The sequence below is a fragment of the Homo sapiens genome, chromosome 18 (assembly GCF_000001405.40).
Source record: "Homo sapiens chromosome 18, GRCh38.p14 Primary Assembly".
In the NCBI taxonomy this organism is placed as follows: domain Eukaryota; kingdom Metazoa; phylum Chordata; class Mammalia; order Primates; family Hominidae; genus Homo; species Homo sapiens.
Genome location: NC_000018.10, coordinates 34672515 through 34687472, shown reverse-complemented (window position 1 = coordinate 34687472; position 14958 = coordinate 34672515). Strand labels below are relative to the sequence as shown.

The window sequence follows — 14958 nt, the reverse complement described above, 5'->3', positions numbered from 1 at the left end:
CAGGATTAAGAAACTCACTCAAAACTGCACAACTACATGGAAACTGAACAACCTGCTCCTGAATGACTACTGGGTAAATAACAAAATTAAGACAGAAATAAAGATGTTCTTTGAAACCAATGAGAAGAAAGACAGAATGTACCAGAATCTCTGGGACACAGCTATACAGTGTTTAGAGGGAAATTTATAGCACTAAATGCCCACAGGAGAAAGCAGGAAAGAGCTAAAATTGACACCTTAACATCACAATTAAAAGAACTAGAGAAGCAAGAGCAAACAAATTCAAAAGTTAGCAGAAGACAAGAAATAACTAAGATCAGAACAGAACTGAAGGAGATAGAGACATGAAAAACCCTTCAAAAAATCAACGAATCCAGGAGGTGGTTTTTTGAAAAGATTAACAAAATAGATAGATGGCTACCAGACTAATAAAGAGGAAAAGAGAGAAGAATCAAATAGACACAATAAAAATGATAAAGGGGAGATCACCACTGATCCCACAGAAATGCAAACTACAATCAGAGAATACTATAAACACCTCTACACAAATAAACTAGAAAATCTAGGAGAAATGGATAAATTCTTGGACACATACACCCTCCCGAGACTAAACCAAGAAGTTGAATCCCTGAACAGACCAATAACAAATTCTGAATTTGAGGCAGTAATTAATAGTCTACCACCACCACCACCAACAGAAACCCAGGACTAGACGGATTCATAGCCAAATTCTACCAGAGGTAAAAAGAGGAGCTGGTACCATTCCTTCTGAAACAATTCCAAACAAAAGAAAAAGAGGGACTCCACCCTAACTCATTTCATGAGGCCAGCATCATCCTGATACCAAAACCTGGCAGGGACACAACAAAAAAAGAAAATTTCAGGCCAATATTCCTGATGAACATTGATGCAAAAATCTTCAATAACGTACTGGCAAACTGAATCCAGCAGCATATCAAAAAGATTATCCACCACAATCAAGTCGGCTTCATCCTGGGATGCAAGGCTGGTTCAACATACACAAATCAATAAACGTAGTCCATCACATAAACAGAACCAATGACAAAAACCACATGATTATCTCAATAGATGCAGAAAAGGCCTTCAATAAAATTCAACACCCCTTCATGCTAAAAACACTCAATAAACTAGGTATTGATGGAACATATCTCAAAATAATAAGAGCTATTTATGACAAATCCACAGCCAAAATCATACTGAATGGGCAAAAGCCAGAAGCATTCCCTTTGAAAACCAGCACAAGACAAGGATGCCCTCTCTCACCACTCCTATTCAACACAGTATTGGAAGTCCTGGCCAGGGCAATCAGGCAAGAGAAAGAAATGAAGGGTATTCAAATAGGAAGACAGGAAGTCAAATTATCTTTGTTTGCAGATGACATGATTGTATATTTAGGAAACCCCATCATCTCAGCCCAAAACTTCATTAAGCTGATAAGCAAATTCAGCAAAGTGTCAGGATACAAAACCAATGTGCAAAATTCACAAGCATTCCTATACACCAGTAATAGACAAACAGAGAGCCAAATCATGAGCAAACTCCCATTCACAATTGCTACAAAGAGAATAAAATACCTAAGAATACAACTTACAAGGGATGTGAAAGACCTCTTCAAGGAGAACTACAAACCACTGCTCAAGGAAAGAAGAGGTGACACAAACAAATGGAAAAACATTCCATGCTCATGGATAGGAAGAATCAATATTGTGAAAATGGCCATACTGCCCAAAGTAATTTACAGATTCAATGCCATTCCCATCAAGCTACCATTGATTTTCTTCACAGAATTAGAAAAAACTACTTTCAGTTTCATATGGAAACAAAAAAGAGCCTGTATAGCCAAGACAATCCTAAGCCAAAAGAACAAAGCTGGAGGTATCACAGTACCTAACTTAAACTATACTACAAGGCTACAGTAACCAAGACAGCATGGTACTGGTACCAACACAGATATATAGACCAATGGAACAGAACAGAGCCCTCAGAAATAACGCCACACATCTACAACCATCTGATCTTTGACAAACCTGACACAAACAAGCAATGGGGAAAACATTCCCTATTTAATAAATGGTGTTGGGAAAACTGGCTAGCCATATGCAGAAAGCTGAAACTGGACCCTTTCCTTACACCTCATACAAAAATTAACTCAAGATGGATTAAAGACTTAAATGTAAGACCTAAAATCATAAAAACCCAAGAAGAAAATCAGGCAAAACCATTTAGGACATAGGCATGGGCAAAGACTTCATGACTAAAACACCAAAAGCAATGGCAACAAAAGCCAAAATTCACAAATGGGATCTAATTAAAGAGCTTCTGCACAGTAAAAGAAACTATCAGCAGAGTGAACAGGCAACCTACAGAATGGGAGAAAATTTTTGCAATCTATCCATCTGACAAAGGGCTAATATCCAGAATCTACAAGGAACTTAAACAAATTTACAAGAAAAAAGCAACCCCATCAAAAAGTGGGCAAGTGATATGAACAGACATTTTTCAAAAGAAGACATTTATGCGGCCAAAAAACATATGAAAAGAAGCTCATCATCACTGGTCATTAGAGAAATGCAAATCAAAACCACAATGAGATACCATCTCATGCCAGTTAGAACGGCGATCATTGAAAAGTCAGGAAACAACCGATGCTGGAGAGGATGTGGAGAAATAGGAATGCTTTTACACTATTGGTGGGAGTGTAAATTAGTTCAACCATTGTGGAAGACAGTGTGGTGATTCCTCAAGGAGCTAGAACCAGAAATACCATTTGACCTAGCAATCGTATTACTGGGTATATACCCAAAGGATTATAAGTCATTCTACTATAAAGACACATGCACATGTATGTTTATTGCAGCACTATTCACAAAAGCAAAGACTTGGAACCAACCCAAATGCCCATAAATGTTAGACTGGATAAAGAAAATGTGACACAAATACACCATGGAATAATATGTAGCCAAAAAAAGAACGAGTTCATGTCCTTTACAGGAATATGGATGAAGCTGGAAACCATCATTCTCAGGAAACTAACACAGGAACAGAAAACCAAAGACCACATGTTCTCACTCATAAGTGAGAGTTGAACAATGAGAACATATGGGCACAGGGAGGGGAACATCACACACCAGGGCTTGTTGCGGGATGGGGGGCAAGGGGAGGGATAGCATTAGGAGAAATACCTAATGTAGATGACGGGTTGATGGGTGCAGCAAAGCACCATGGTACCTGTATGCCTGTGTAGCAAACTTGCACGTTCTGCATATGTATCCCAGAACCTAAAGTATATATATACATAAAAATCTCCCATCACAATGTTGTTCATTATTGTAATGACTAATACCTCCACTCTTCCCATCCCTCTCTCCCAACGTGACATTAAGATCTGTTCAGCCTGAGTTATCTTTGATGTCAGGTGTTTCCCTTGACCCTACAGGCAACATCATAAAGTTGGTGAGATCATTTCCCACATATGTGTACCCCAACTTCCAATGCTGAATGTTTGTACCATTGTTTCAGGGGTCTCTTCCTTGCTAATTCATTAGATTTACATATTATGTAGTATATATAATTAATGGGTGCATTTTTCTTCCCAAGGGTATTTTTTTAAATTATAATTTTATAAAATCCTATTTCCAAAAGCTGGAGAAAAATGTTAATGATTAGAATTTTTAGAGCTGTATCAAATAAGGGGAAGACTTGTACTGGCAACATAAGTTATTCATTGTCTTAAACTGTATCATAAAGCTCCTCATACCTGTGTCTCCCAGCTTTAGGATGATGAAGGAGTTTTAGAAATTCTGTTCATGATGGCATTTGCGCATTGTCTGAAAGGATTCTAAATTAGGCATTGCAGGTTCAACATTGACATTGGTTGAATAGATGAAAATTGTTGGTAGAAGGAACATCATGTCCTTCAGAGTCCAACCACAGTACATTAAAATGGACAGATGAGCAGTTGAGATGACCTCTGAGAAAAGATTGAAAAGGAACATGACTACATAAATAAATGAGAAGGAAATGAAAATAGCAAGGCCCTTCCATTTAAAATAACTAAGTGAAGTACCAAAATGATTAAGTGAAAAGCGACTTTAATACCAAGGAATCTCTTTAGAATGAATGGAATTGTTGAGACAGAGTGAATTGATTAGTTATCAAGAAAGACAGACACTGGGATCCTGATCACATTGCTTTCCAATACAACCAGTATTTATTACAGGACATTTGAAATGTTCAGATCATAAGGCATCTTCAAGTAGCAAACAACCATTACTAAAAGAGAGAGGTCAGATCTCTCAACTGCAGGTGAAAAGAACCAAAATAAAGTAAATCAGAAGCTTTAGATTTAAATGTGAATGTTGGAATGAGACTGATTTAAATTGGAATGAGACTAAGAAGTTCTTATACTGTACATAGTAAAGTTTGTGAAATGTGGATATTTTAAAAATAAAAATAATACTTGGGATATACCTGAAAATTTAAAAATCTTCCCATTAATTTGATATGCAAAATGGGAAACTTGACAATGATTGTGTTAACAGCAACAAATTAATGTTACAATATTGTATAGCTGAGGATATGGCTTTAAATATATTAAGTTTAATTTTTTTTCAGTTTTTAAAAAAACAAACCTTGAAGAGAATGACAAGCGAAGACAGAAATAAGAGAAATTATTTTCAAAAGACACATGTGATAAAGGATTATTAGCCATAATATACAAAGAACTTTTAACACTCAACAATAAGAAAACAACCCAATTAAAAAATGGGCCAAAGATCGGAACAGACACCTCACCAAAGAAGATACAAAGTTAGAAAGTAACCATATGAAAAGATGTTCAACATCATTAGGGAACTGCTCATTAAAATCAGAAGTATACACCTATTAGAATGACCAAATTCTAAAACACTGACATCAAATGCTGGAGAGGATATGGAGCAACAGGACACTTATTTGTTGCTGGTGGAAATGCAAAATGATACAATTAACTTGGAAGACAGTTTGGCAGTTTCTTACAAAACTAAACATATTTTTATCCTATGATTCAGCAATTACACTCCTTGGTATTAGGTTGGTGCAAAAGTAATTAAATCAAAAAGTAATGGCAAAACCGCAATTACTTTTGCACCAACCTAAAATATTTACCTAAATGAGTTGAAAATTTGTGTCCACACAAAAACCTACATATGATGTTTATAGCAGCTTTATTCATAATTTCCAAAACATGGAAGCAACAAAAATGTCCTCCAATAGGTTAATAGATAAATTAAATGTGGTACATCCAGGCAGTGGAATATTATTCAACACTAAAACAAAATGAACTATCAAGCCATGAAAAGCCATGAAGGAGACTTAAATGCATATTACTGAGTGAAAGAGGCCAACCTGAAAAGGCTACACACTGTATGATTTCAACTATATGACATCTCAGAAAAGGTAAAGCTATGGAGCCAGTAAAAAGATGAGGGGTGAGGTGCAGGGGAGGGATGAATAGGCAAGAGCACAGAGGATTGTTAGGGCAGTGAAACTATTCTGTATGACACCACAGTGGTGGATACATGTCATTTATGCATTTGTCAAAGCCCATAGAATGCACAACACCAAGAATGTACCCTAATGTAAACTGTGGACTTCAGGTGATGATGGGTTAATGTAGGTTCATTGATAGTCACAAATATACCATTCTGGTGGAGGATGTCCATAGGGTGTGTGTGTGTGGGGTGTGTGTGTGTGTGTGTGTGTGTGTGTGTGTGTGTTGTGTATAGGGGGATATATAAAAACTGTACTTTCTACTCAATTTTTGGGTGACCTAAATTGCTCTCAAATAAATTTTACTAAATTAATAAATAAATGACACACTGCATGATTCCATTAGATAAAGTTCTAGAATAGGCAAAATTAGTTAATTGTCACATAAGCCATGATGATGGTTTCCTCTGTGGGAGGAATGACTGGAAGCTCACGTGAGCAGGACTTCTGGGGGCATTGGTAATCTACTTCTTGATCTGATGGGAAGTATACACTTTGTGAAAATTCATTGAGATATACACTTACTTGTGACCTCTTTGTATGTATATTATATCTCAATGTCTTAGTATAAAGTATTTTAAAAGTAAAAAACACCCTGCCCAACTTTACATTTAAATTTAATTTCTTAGGAATCACTTGTTTTCTTAAGAAGCAAGTAATCCATGTTCATTTTCTTCCAATAATTTTGGAAGAAATTAATGAAGTATTGATAGATTAGTTACGATTCAATCAAGATAAAAGAAAACATTCTAAGTATTTAAAATGATGAACTTTAATACAAGGAAATGGTTACAAAGATGAAAGAATTGAGAAGCTAAATTGGGAATGGTGGATCAAATTGAAGATCAGCAGCCTCAGGAAGCCAAAGGCACTATCACTCATGATTCTCAAGGGACAAAAGGGAAGAGGTAGTGTTAATGAGGTTCAGGGTTCAGGTCACTGGAAGAAGCTGGAGGTAACATGTAGGAGGGGAGGAGAGGCTCTGGCTGGAAAATACAGCCCATAGGGTCAGTCCCTGTGGAATAAAGAGAGGCAGGGCAGGGCAAGGAATGGCCCTGAAGGTAACAGGCACAGATGGGCACAAGTGGAAAATAAAGGATTCAGAAAATAAGTTTTTCATTTTCATTTTTTTCTTCTAGAGTAACTGTTACACTAGGCAAATTGATTTACTGGTATTTTTGATGGGCACCAAGTTTAGCTTCTGGGAACTGCATTCAACACACATCTTGTAAATAAATAGAATTACCATTTTAGTTCTAAATCCAATCTCTATAAACCAAATTTATACACCTGTAAGTTTATGAAAGCATTATTTGCCATCATTTTGAAGTTAATCAAAAGTATTAAGGAAGCATCTCTGCCTTTCAGATTAGATTTAGACAGTGGCCAATGCTCTGTCAGCTGCATTATTTTATTGGAATTGTAAACATAGGTATATGCTGGTGTTCTGAAGATCACCTTTCTTCAAAGTACATAATAAAGCCACACTTTGAAAACTAGACTTAGGAGGAGGTGGAAAGCCACACAATATCCTCAATATGACCACCACTCACTTTCTCCATTCCCCTCTATTCTGCTGAAAAATGGCAATGGCATATATCAGACTAATATTAAACCACCAATTTTAGGCTCTTCTCTTTTCTGACATGGAAGGGTGATGACATATGATGATGTAAAATATATTTATTCATTCATTTCATGGCCAGACAAAACAAAGCTTAATGTGAGTGTGTGTGTGTGTTGTGTTTAACTGTACATAGCACTTTAAAAATTTAGCACACCTGCCCTTAACCATGCCCTACTTTTAATTCTAAGCAAAACCTCCCAATAAGCGCATCTAAAACGTTATCCCGATCTCAAACACAGATTCATTAGTGATTAAGCCACTATTATCACCATCAAATTTTCCTTCAGTTTATGCCATCAAAAATTTTGTCTCATTCTGGTTTATTACACTGATATTAAATACATTTTATATTTTACAAATTATATAACCTTTAGAATAGAATGAAGTATTATGGCATTTGCTTAATAGAAACTGGGAAGTGACGGTCAAGACAATCTTTATGTTATATAGCTCACAGTTCAGATGGTTTCTGATAATAATAATAATAACAATAAATAAACAAAAAGACGGTAAGTCTTTCATTGTCTGGAACCTCACTAAAGGTACGAAACTGAAAGGCATTGATAATATTTATTTAGCCATCTTGCTCCACCTCAGCATTGATAATATTTAAACCCATTTTCTTTTCAGGCAAATGAGAGGAGCACTCTAAAGAGAAACAGTTCAATATTCATCTTAAGTTCTTTGTCTTAAACACACTCACCTAAAATTCAATGAAGGGACAGCATGAACTTTTCAAAACCATCTATATTCTTTGAAATGGCAGTTGATTATGGCACTTAAAGACTTCCCAAGCACTTCATCCAAGGATTGGTAAATCCTATTTATCTGCAACGAGAAAGTAGACTTTTATTTAGCTAAGCAATTCACACTTCTGTATTTATTACACAAACAGGAAGCCAGAATTGGCAGATCTAGAACATACGTTATTTTATAAATCCCCTTATCCTCTATTAATAACGTATGCAATTTAGAACCTTGCTTTTCATTTAGTATAAGAAATATTTATAATAACAGACATTTATGGTAGAAGTCATTTCACAGATGAGGACAGTGAGTTCCAGAGGGATTAAGTGATCATCCAAGATTTAAAAGCTGGTTAATGATAGTTGCCTGGAACATTGGGTTCCTGATATAGCTCTATGGATTTAGTTGACTGAAAAACCAGAAATGGAAAAACATGGAATCTTCTTTGTTTTCCAAGTAGATAGTTTTCTGGGATATTTTATTGACATAATTTTTACTGAAGCCAAGTAAAGTATTGCTAAGATCAGAGTCCTCAGACTAACATTTCCTCTGATGGATTGAGCTTGAGCAGTCATTAGTAGATACCCTGTAAGAGTGGACTACAACAAGGTGGACTACAAAGGCAACCTAATGTTACTTAATAATCCATATAATTATGTTGTGTAGTAATAACATAAATTGTAAATATTTCATAAGATTGGCTGTTAATTTTTCTTAACTAAGCTGAATGGTTTTATAAGCTTTTGCCTTCTGAGAAAATTTCTAAATGAGAACTGAAAGAGACAAGCTCTAGACTGCCCGCCCCAATGCCCAAGATCCCTGACCCTATGGCTGGGAGTGACCCAGGCACTCCACTCATCATCTCCCCTCAGCCAGTCCTCCCCAGTGTTCTCTTCCTCCTCACCCTTTCTTCCTTGCTTCTCCCTGTGAACACACAGGCTGCGTGTTACTATCCCAGGTGCCAGATGGCTTGAAGCAGCAAAAATTTGAAGCTTAGGAAATCTCATGTTAAGATGAAGGAAAAGTGTGGGGAGGAGGGACACAGTAAAGTAAAAGGGACAAGGCATCTGGTGGCAGTGGGGGTGGAAAGGGAAGGGATGGAAGGAACCCAGCTCTGCACCTTTGCTGGGTGATGGGTGCCTTCTGCTTCTGACTCCCACCCCATGCTTTCCTCTCCCAACCCAGGTTATCTAAAATGAACACAATAATTATTTCAGCTTTCATGACTGGGTTCAGGCTTCCTATGATTTGAGGTACTAAAGAAAATTCTATAACAAAATCTTCCCCTTCCTCTTATCTAAGTTCTCAGACATGTTCATTACGTGAGGTTTATTTATGATACGGGTTTGCTGTGTCCCCGCCTTGACTTGTAGTTCTCATAATCCCCACATATCACAGGAGGGGCCCAATAGGAGATAATTGACTCATGGGGGCTGTTATCCCCATGCTGTTCTTGTGATAGTATAGGGGCTTTTCCCCCTTTGCTCGGCACTTCTCTCTCCTGCTGCTACATGAAGAAGGATGTGTTTGCTTCCACTTTCACCACGACTGTAAGTTTCCTGAGGCCTCACCAGCCATCTGGAACTGAGTCAATTATACTTCTTTCCTTTATAAATTACCCAGTCATGGGCAGTTCTTTATAGTAGAGTGAGAATGACCTAATACAATTTAATAGGATATAAAGAGACTTTCACTACACAATTAACCACTGTTCTGTGACATTCAGACCCAACAGTCTTTCCCTGTGCTATGATTCTAGGCATATACATCTTCTGTTTGACATTCTTTGAATTAAATGTATTATTACAACAGTAGTACTTTCAGATATTTTTTGTTTCTTAAAGTACATGCTTTTTTAAAAAAAAATTGGAGTCGGAGTAGATTAGACCTATGTATCTGAGAATAAATTATATATTAAAATATTTCTCCTCATGAACACAGCTCTCTAAGCCACAGCACCTGGAAATAAATGAAAATCGCATATAATCTAAAGTATTATATTTTCACCTTAGGCTATATCTATGTATATAATAAAGTGAGATAAACTTATATCCAGCTCTATCTGGCAATGTAGAATCACTCGAGAAATCACTTGGTATTGTCCTAGGGACCTCTTAGGATTTGGCTGCTGGTTGTTGTTCCTGTACCTGACAATTTTGGGAAGGATGACTTGCATATTTCTTTTTTTTTGTCCAGATCCAATGGGTTACTCCAGACTGCAATAGATTTGGAGGGAGCCTAAACAATGCTCAGATGGAGACACTGTGTTAAAGAACCCCATGGGTGGTCCAGGTTGACATCTTGACCAGGATCTATGACTAATAAAATTTACACCTTGGGTGGTCTACGGATCACAAGGCAGCTTTAAATTCTGCTGTTCCTTTTCTACTAAGAAGTGGCCCCACTTCACCCCATATATCACAGATAGTGATTAAAAGAAGTTAGTTGTCTAATCTGGAGGCAGATCCATCCCTACCATTCTTGGCTTCTATCCTGCATGGCAACTCCAGAGTATGCAGAGCTGAATACCCTCAATTCTTTCTACTCTTTCTTTCACCTGAGGGTGGCAGCTTCCCAAGCTGCTAGTGAATTAAAGGCATCAATCCTACTATACTCTTCCTGCAGCCTACTGGACACTTGGAAAGCAAAATTGTCACATGAACATTGGGTGGGAATACAAATTATACCTTTCTCCATTCTCTCCCTCTCTCTTTGAGACAAGGTCTTGCTCTCTCACCCATACTGAGTGCAGTGGCATGATCGTGGCTCACTGCAGCCTCAAGCTCCCCAGGCTCAAGCAATCTTCCCATCTCAACCTCCTGAGTAGCTGGGACTACAGGTGCTCAGCACCACGCTCAGCTAATTTTTGTATGTTTTGTAGAGATGAGATTTTGCTATGTTGCCCAGGCTGGTCTCGAACATCTGAGCTCAAACAATCCGCCTGCCTCAGCCTCCCAACATGCTGGGATTACAGGCATTGAACCACCGTGCCTGGCCCCTTCTCTCTTTAAGTTCTTACTTAAATTACAGGTCAGCTAACGTAAATTCTAGGTTGGCTAACTTGTGACTAGAAATTAAAATTTAGTGTCATGGTATAAAATAAAAATACTGTATTCTTTACTAAGCTCCCAGAAAAGCTTTCATCCAGGGTCTGGATTGGAGCTAGGAACCAGTGTCTTACCACAGAGTACCATAAAAGAAAGAAGTATTTCATTCATTTTGGGTGCTGCATTTTAGGCATGTAGGTTAGATGGAAGTTGCAGGAGTCACATTTTTGCTTAATAAGAGGACCCCCTCAAATTGGAGGACACAAAAACAGAATGGGCCACCTAAAAAGGTAGTGACCTTCATACCAATGATATCAATTTAAACAGAGGCTCAATAATCATTTGTAGTGGTAGGATTTGGTAAAGCATACACGTTTATTACAAATTGGGATATGTGGTCCTCTCAGCCCAGATTCTGTGGGACCTAGACAAATATTAGACTGGAGAAGAGTTAACATTCGTGTTATTATTCCTATTTATGCTCGGACTGATGTTTCTACCATAAATAGCACTCTGTACTCACTCTCTATTGTTTATTTTGATATATTCCCCTGTACTGCCACTACCTGATGTATTATTTATTCATTGTCTCTTCACACCAGAATATAGCTCCACAAAGGCAGGAACTTTTTTCATTGTTGTGCACCTGATGCTTAGAATGGTGGCTGGCACATAGTATGCCTGCAGTAATATTTATTGCACGAACAAACAGATGTATGAATGAATGTATATTTTTGGTTGCCATCAAATTTAAATCTAAGAAGTTTGGATTTTTCTTTCACACAAATATTTGCAAGTCAGATTAAAGCTTCTAGATGATGATTTTATTTATACATACCTTAGAATAAACAAGGTAGGGTGAAATACAAGATTAACTAGCAAGAATGTAGTAAAAGAAAAATCCTATTACATTTTCTTATTTTAAAATTTGTCTTCTTTTTCTTATAAATATTTGGTTCAATTTCCTTTCTCTTACCCTTGTGAACTTGCACCATATTAAAAATAATTTCATCATCACAATCTGAAGAATTCATGATTATTTTATTCACCCTAAAAATATAAGGAATCCAAGCAGAAATTTTAGCTACTTTCATTATTATTCAAGAACGGGTAGCCTAAATATTAAAAGGAGGAATAAAAAGGTGCTCTCCAGGACTTCTTTTGAGGGTATGACTTTTGTCCAGTGGTTCTCAATCAGGGTGATTTTGCCCCCAGGGGACATATGACAATGTTTGGAGACATTTTTGGTTGTGCAGGGTGGGTACGTGCAACTGGCATCTAGTAGGTACAGGTCAGGATACTGCTGAACATCTGAAAATTCATAGGACTACTGCCCCCCAACCCCCAGCCAAATAATGAATAGTCCAAAATGTTGATAGTACCCAGGTTGAGGAACCCTGGTAGGTGGTCCGAGTTCCTTTGAGTCCTAATTCTATTATGTAATTTTACCACAGGTCCCATCCAGACCTCTGAAGTTGAACAAGGTAAGTCTAACTTCCCTTTTGAAGCTTCCTCCAACTCTATATACCACGTGAATTCCTTCCTGCCCCTCCCAGCTGTGCTCTTAGACCCTCTCTGTATTCCAGTCCTTAGTGCTGCCACACCACTCTTGGAGGTCTTTCATTGCAGCACCTGTTATCATTTAAAATTACCATGAATTTTCTTATCCCTTTATAAGAATACGTGCAACTCTGGGCAGGGACTTATTGCTTGTTTCTTCATCATCTCTAGTACATAATCTTTAATGATGAATAGCAATCATCACTAAATGCTTGTTTGAATAAATGATTGATAGTGGAACAGTTAGCAAACACAAAGCTCATGTTTTCACATCTGGTTCCTGTACAGAGTGGCAGTATAAACTTATTCAAATAATTTCACCAGATTATTAGTTATCAGCCTAAGAACGTCAAAGTGGCTTAGAAAGTTGTAGTAAAATGGATTTGGAATCATGGCCCTTGGACTAAACCCAGAATCACCCCAGACACAAGCATATTAATTAAGTCAGAGTCAGGGAGAGGATGGCTGGCAAATGGGCCTTTTTGGACACTTAAAAGCTGGAAACAGAATTAGTGCTATTGGATGCTTAGGCATCCTCTCTATTTTAAGGACTTATTTTTGTTGACACACAGCACAGTATGAGAGGCAGGAAGGTCTTGGATGTCTTTACTTCCTATTAAGGGCATAGCTTATTTCTTCAAGCCCCTAGGATAAAGGGGCTGTGGCTGTGACAGTTTAGTTGTTCACATCCAGTGTGGCACCTTTGCGGAAGGGCAAGATCACACAGTCAGGCAGGCCTCTCCCATTAGGGATTCTGGGCCCCAAGGAAAGTGCCTTTGAGACTGGCTGCATCAGCTCCTAAGCTGGGCGGCAACCTCATTTCTGTGAAGTTTTTAAATCTTTGGACTAATAATCAGGGAAATTAATCTAATCTCAGAAGGGGTTGTGCATCTATAATTCATTTCCATCAAATCACAGCCCAGTGATTGCAGAAACATGTGTGTACTTCACAATTCTGGGTATCCATATAGGCCACTGCTGTGCCTCACTTTTCAGTTGCCTACTTTAATACTTATCTCTGATAAAATTTAACAAGACAGCAAGAAGATATTTGAGAAGTATAAGATAGTAGCAGAGAATTCGGTTTTATTCTTGATATTTCGTCAATAGAAGTGGATAAAAAGTTGTACCTTATCACTTAGGTTAAAGTAAGATAAAGCAGAGAGAACAATATTTGGACAAAATAGCTGTCAACAGGAAAAAAATATATACCTTCAGCAATGAATGTAGAATTTTTCACGCCACAAAGCCGAAGACCTGCTGACATTCAGGAACACTTAAGAAATAATATGATGGCCTGCCTGTCAATATCAGTTCAGTTGGGTATCCAGTCAACTGTTTTAAAGGTGCTGAGAAAAATGAAGGTGGTTTAAAAAGGATTTATCAGCTGTTTCTTGCACAGCATTTTTTTTTTTTTTCTGAAGGACTGGCTCTGCGTATCTTTCTGTTGCATTTTATTGTAAGGTTAAGACAGTTGCTTATCGAGATGATACTTGCATTTTTAAAAGGTAAGGTGGCTCATGCCTGTAATCCCAGCACTTTCGGAGGCCAAGGCAAGCAGATCCCTTGAACCCAGGAGTTCGGGACCAGCCTGGGCAACATGACAAAACCCCAGTGATTAAGTTTACGTAAGTATCTCAGAAATTGTATAGAGAAAAAATAATAATAATAATACTAATAATACAAAAAATAGCTGGGCGTGGTGGTGTGTACCTGTGGTCCCTGCTGCTTGGGAGGCTGAGGTGGGAGATCACCTGAGCCCAGCAGGCGGAGGTTACAGTGAGCCAAGATTGTGCCACTGCATTTCAGCCTGAGTGACAGAGTGAGATCCTCTCTCAAAAAACAAACAAATAAAATGTAAAAATAATTGGCTTACATGGTAATACTTATTAAAAATCAAGTTTTATTAAAAATAGATCAAGAGACAAGAAGAAACATGGAGTTTTTAAACTGCGGGTATGTGTGTGTGTGTGTTTTGATCAAAGTAACTCTCCTTTTAGGAAATGTGGAAAATATAATAAATTGTGAAGAAAATTAGTATCACCCACATTCCACCCCACAGGAAATCCCTATGAAGATTTTATACATTTACTTCCAGTTATACACACACACAGACATATGTTTGTGCATATATATACATACCATATAATTTTTAAGGAAGTAGTTGAAGAACTGTAAACTATATATAATTTTGTTTTAATATTTGAAACTTTTTTGTCCTATTATTAGCAATCTATACATATTCAGCATGAATACTTCCTCTGTTTATGGCTATGAAATTATTTTTATTCAACTTGCTCACTAAGGGATATGATACATATGAAGATATGAGACATCAGTAGTGGCTGAACGCTCCTTTATTCACGTACTTTATACACACATTCACACAGAACACATGTCAGCTGCATTTCAAGGTAAAGCAGTAAG

At 37.4% G+C, this 14958-nt stretch overlaps 1 protein-coding gene across 45 annotated transcripts in view; it reads right to left on the bottom strand.

The window, feature by feature from the left end:
- Positions 1 to 14958, bottom strand: part of DTNA (dystrobrevin alpha) — a 398533-nt gene that overhangs the window by 204372 nt on the left and 179203 nt on the right. For 42 of the 45 annotated variants that reach the window (XM_047437326.1, XM_047437322.1, NM_032975.4 and 39 more), the window contains one exon: positions 7881 to 8005. The gene's annotated coding sequence lies outside the window, so the exon portion shown is untranslated. Of the gene's footprint in view, positions 1 to 3778; positions 3992 to 7880; positions 8006 to 14958 lie in introns of all 45 variants that reach the window. The other 3 variants (XM_047437323.1, XM_047437332.1, XM_047437339.1) reach the window with 1 other exon arrangement.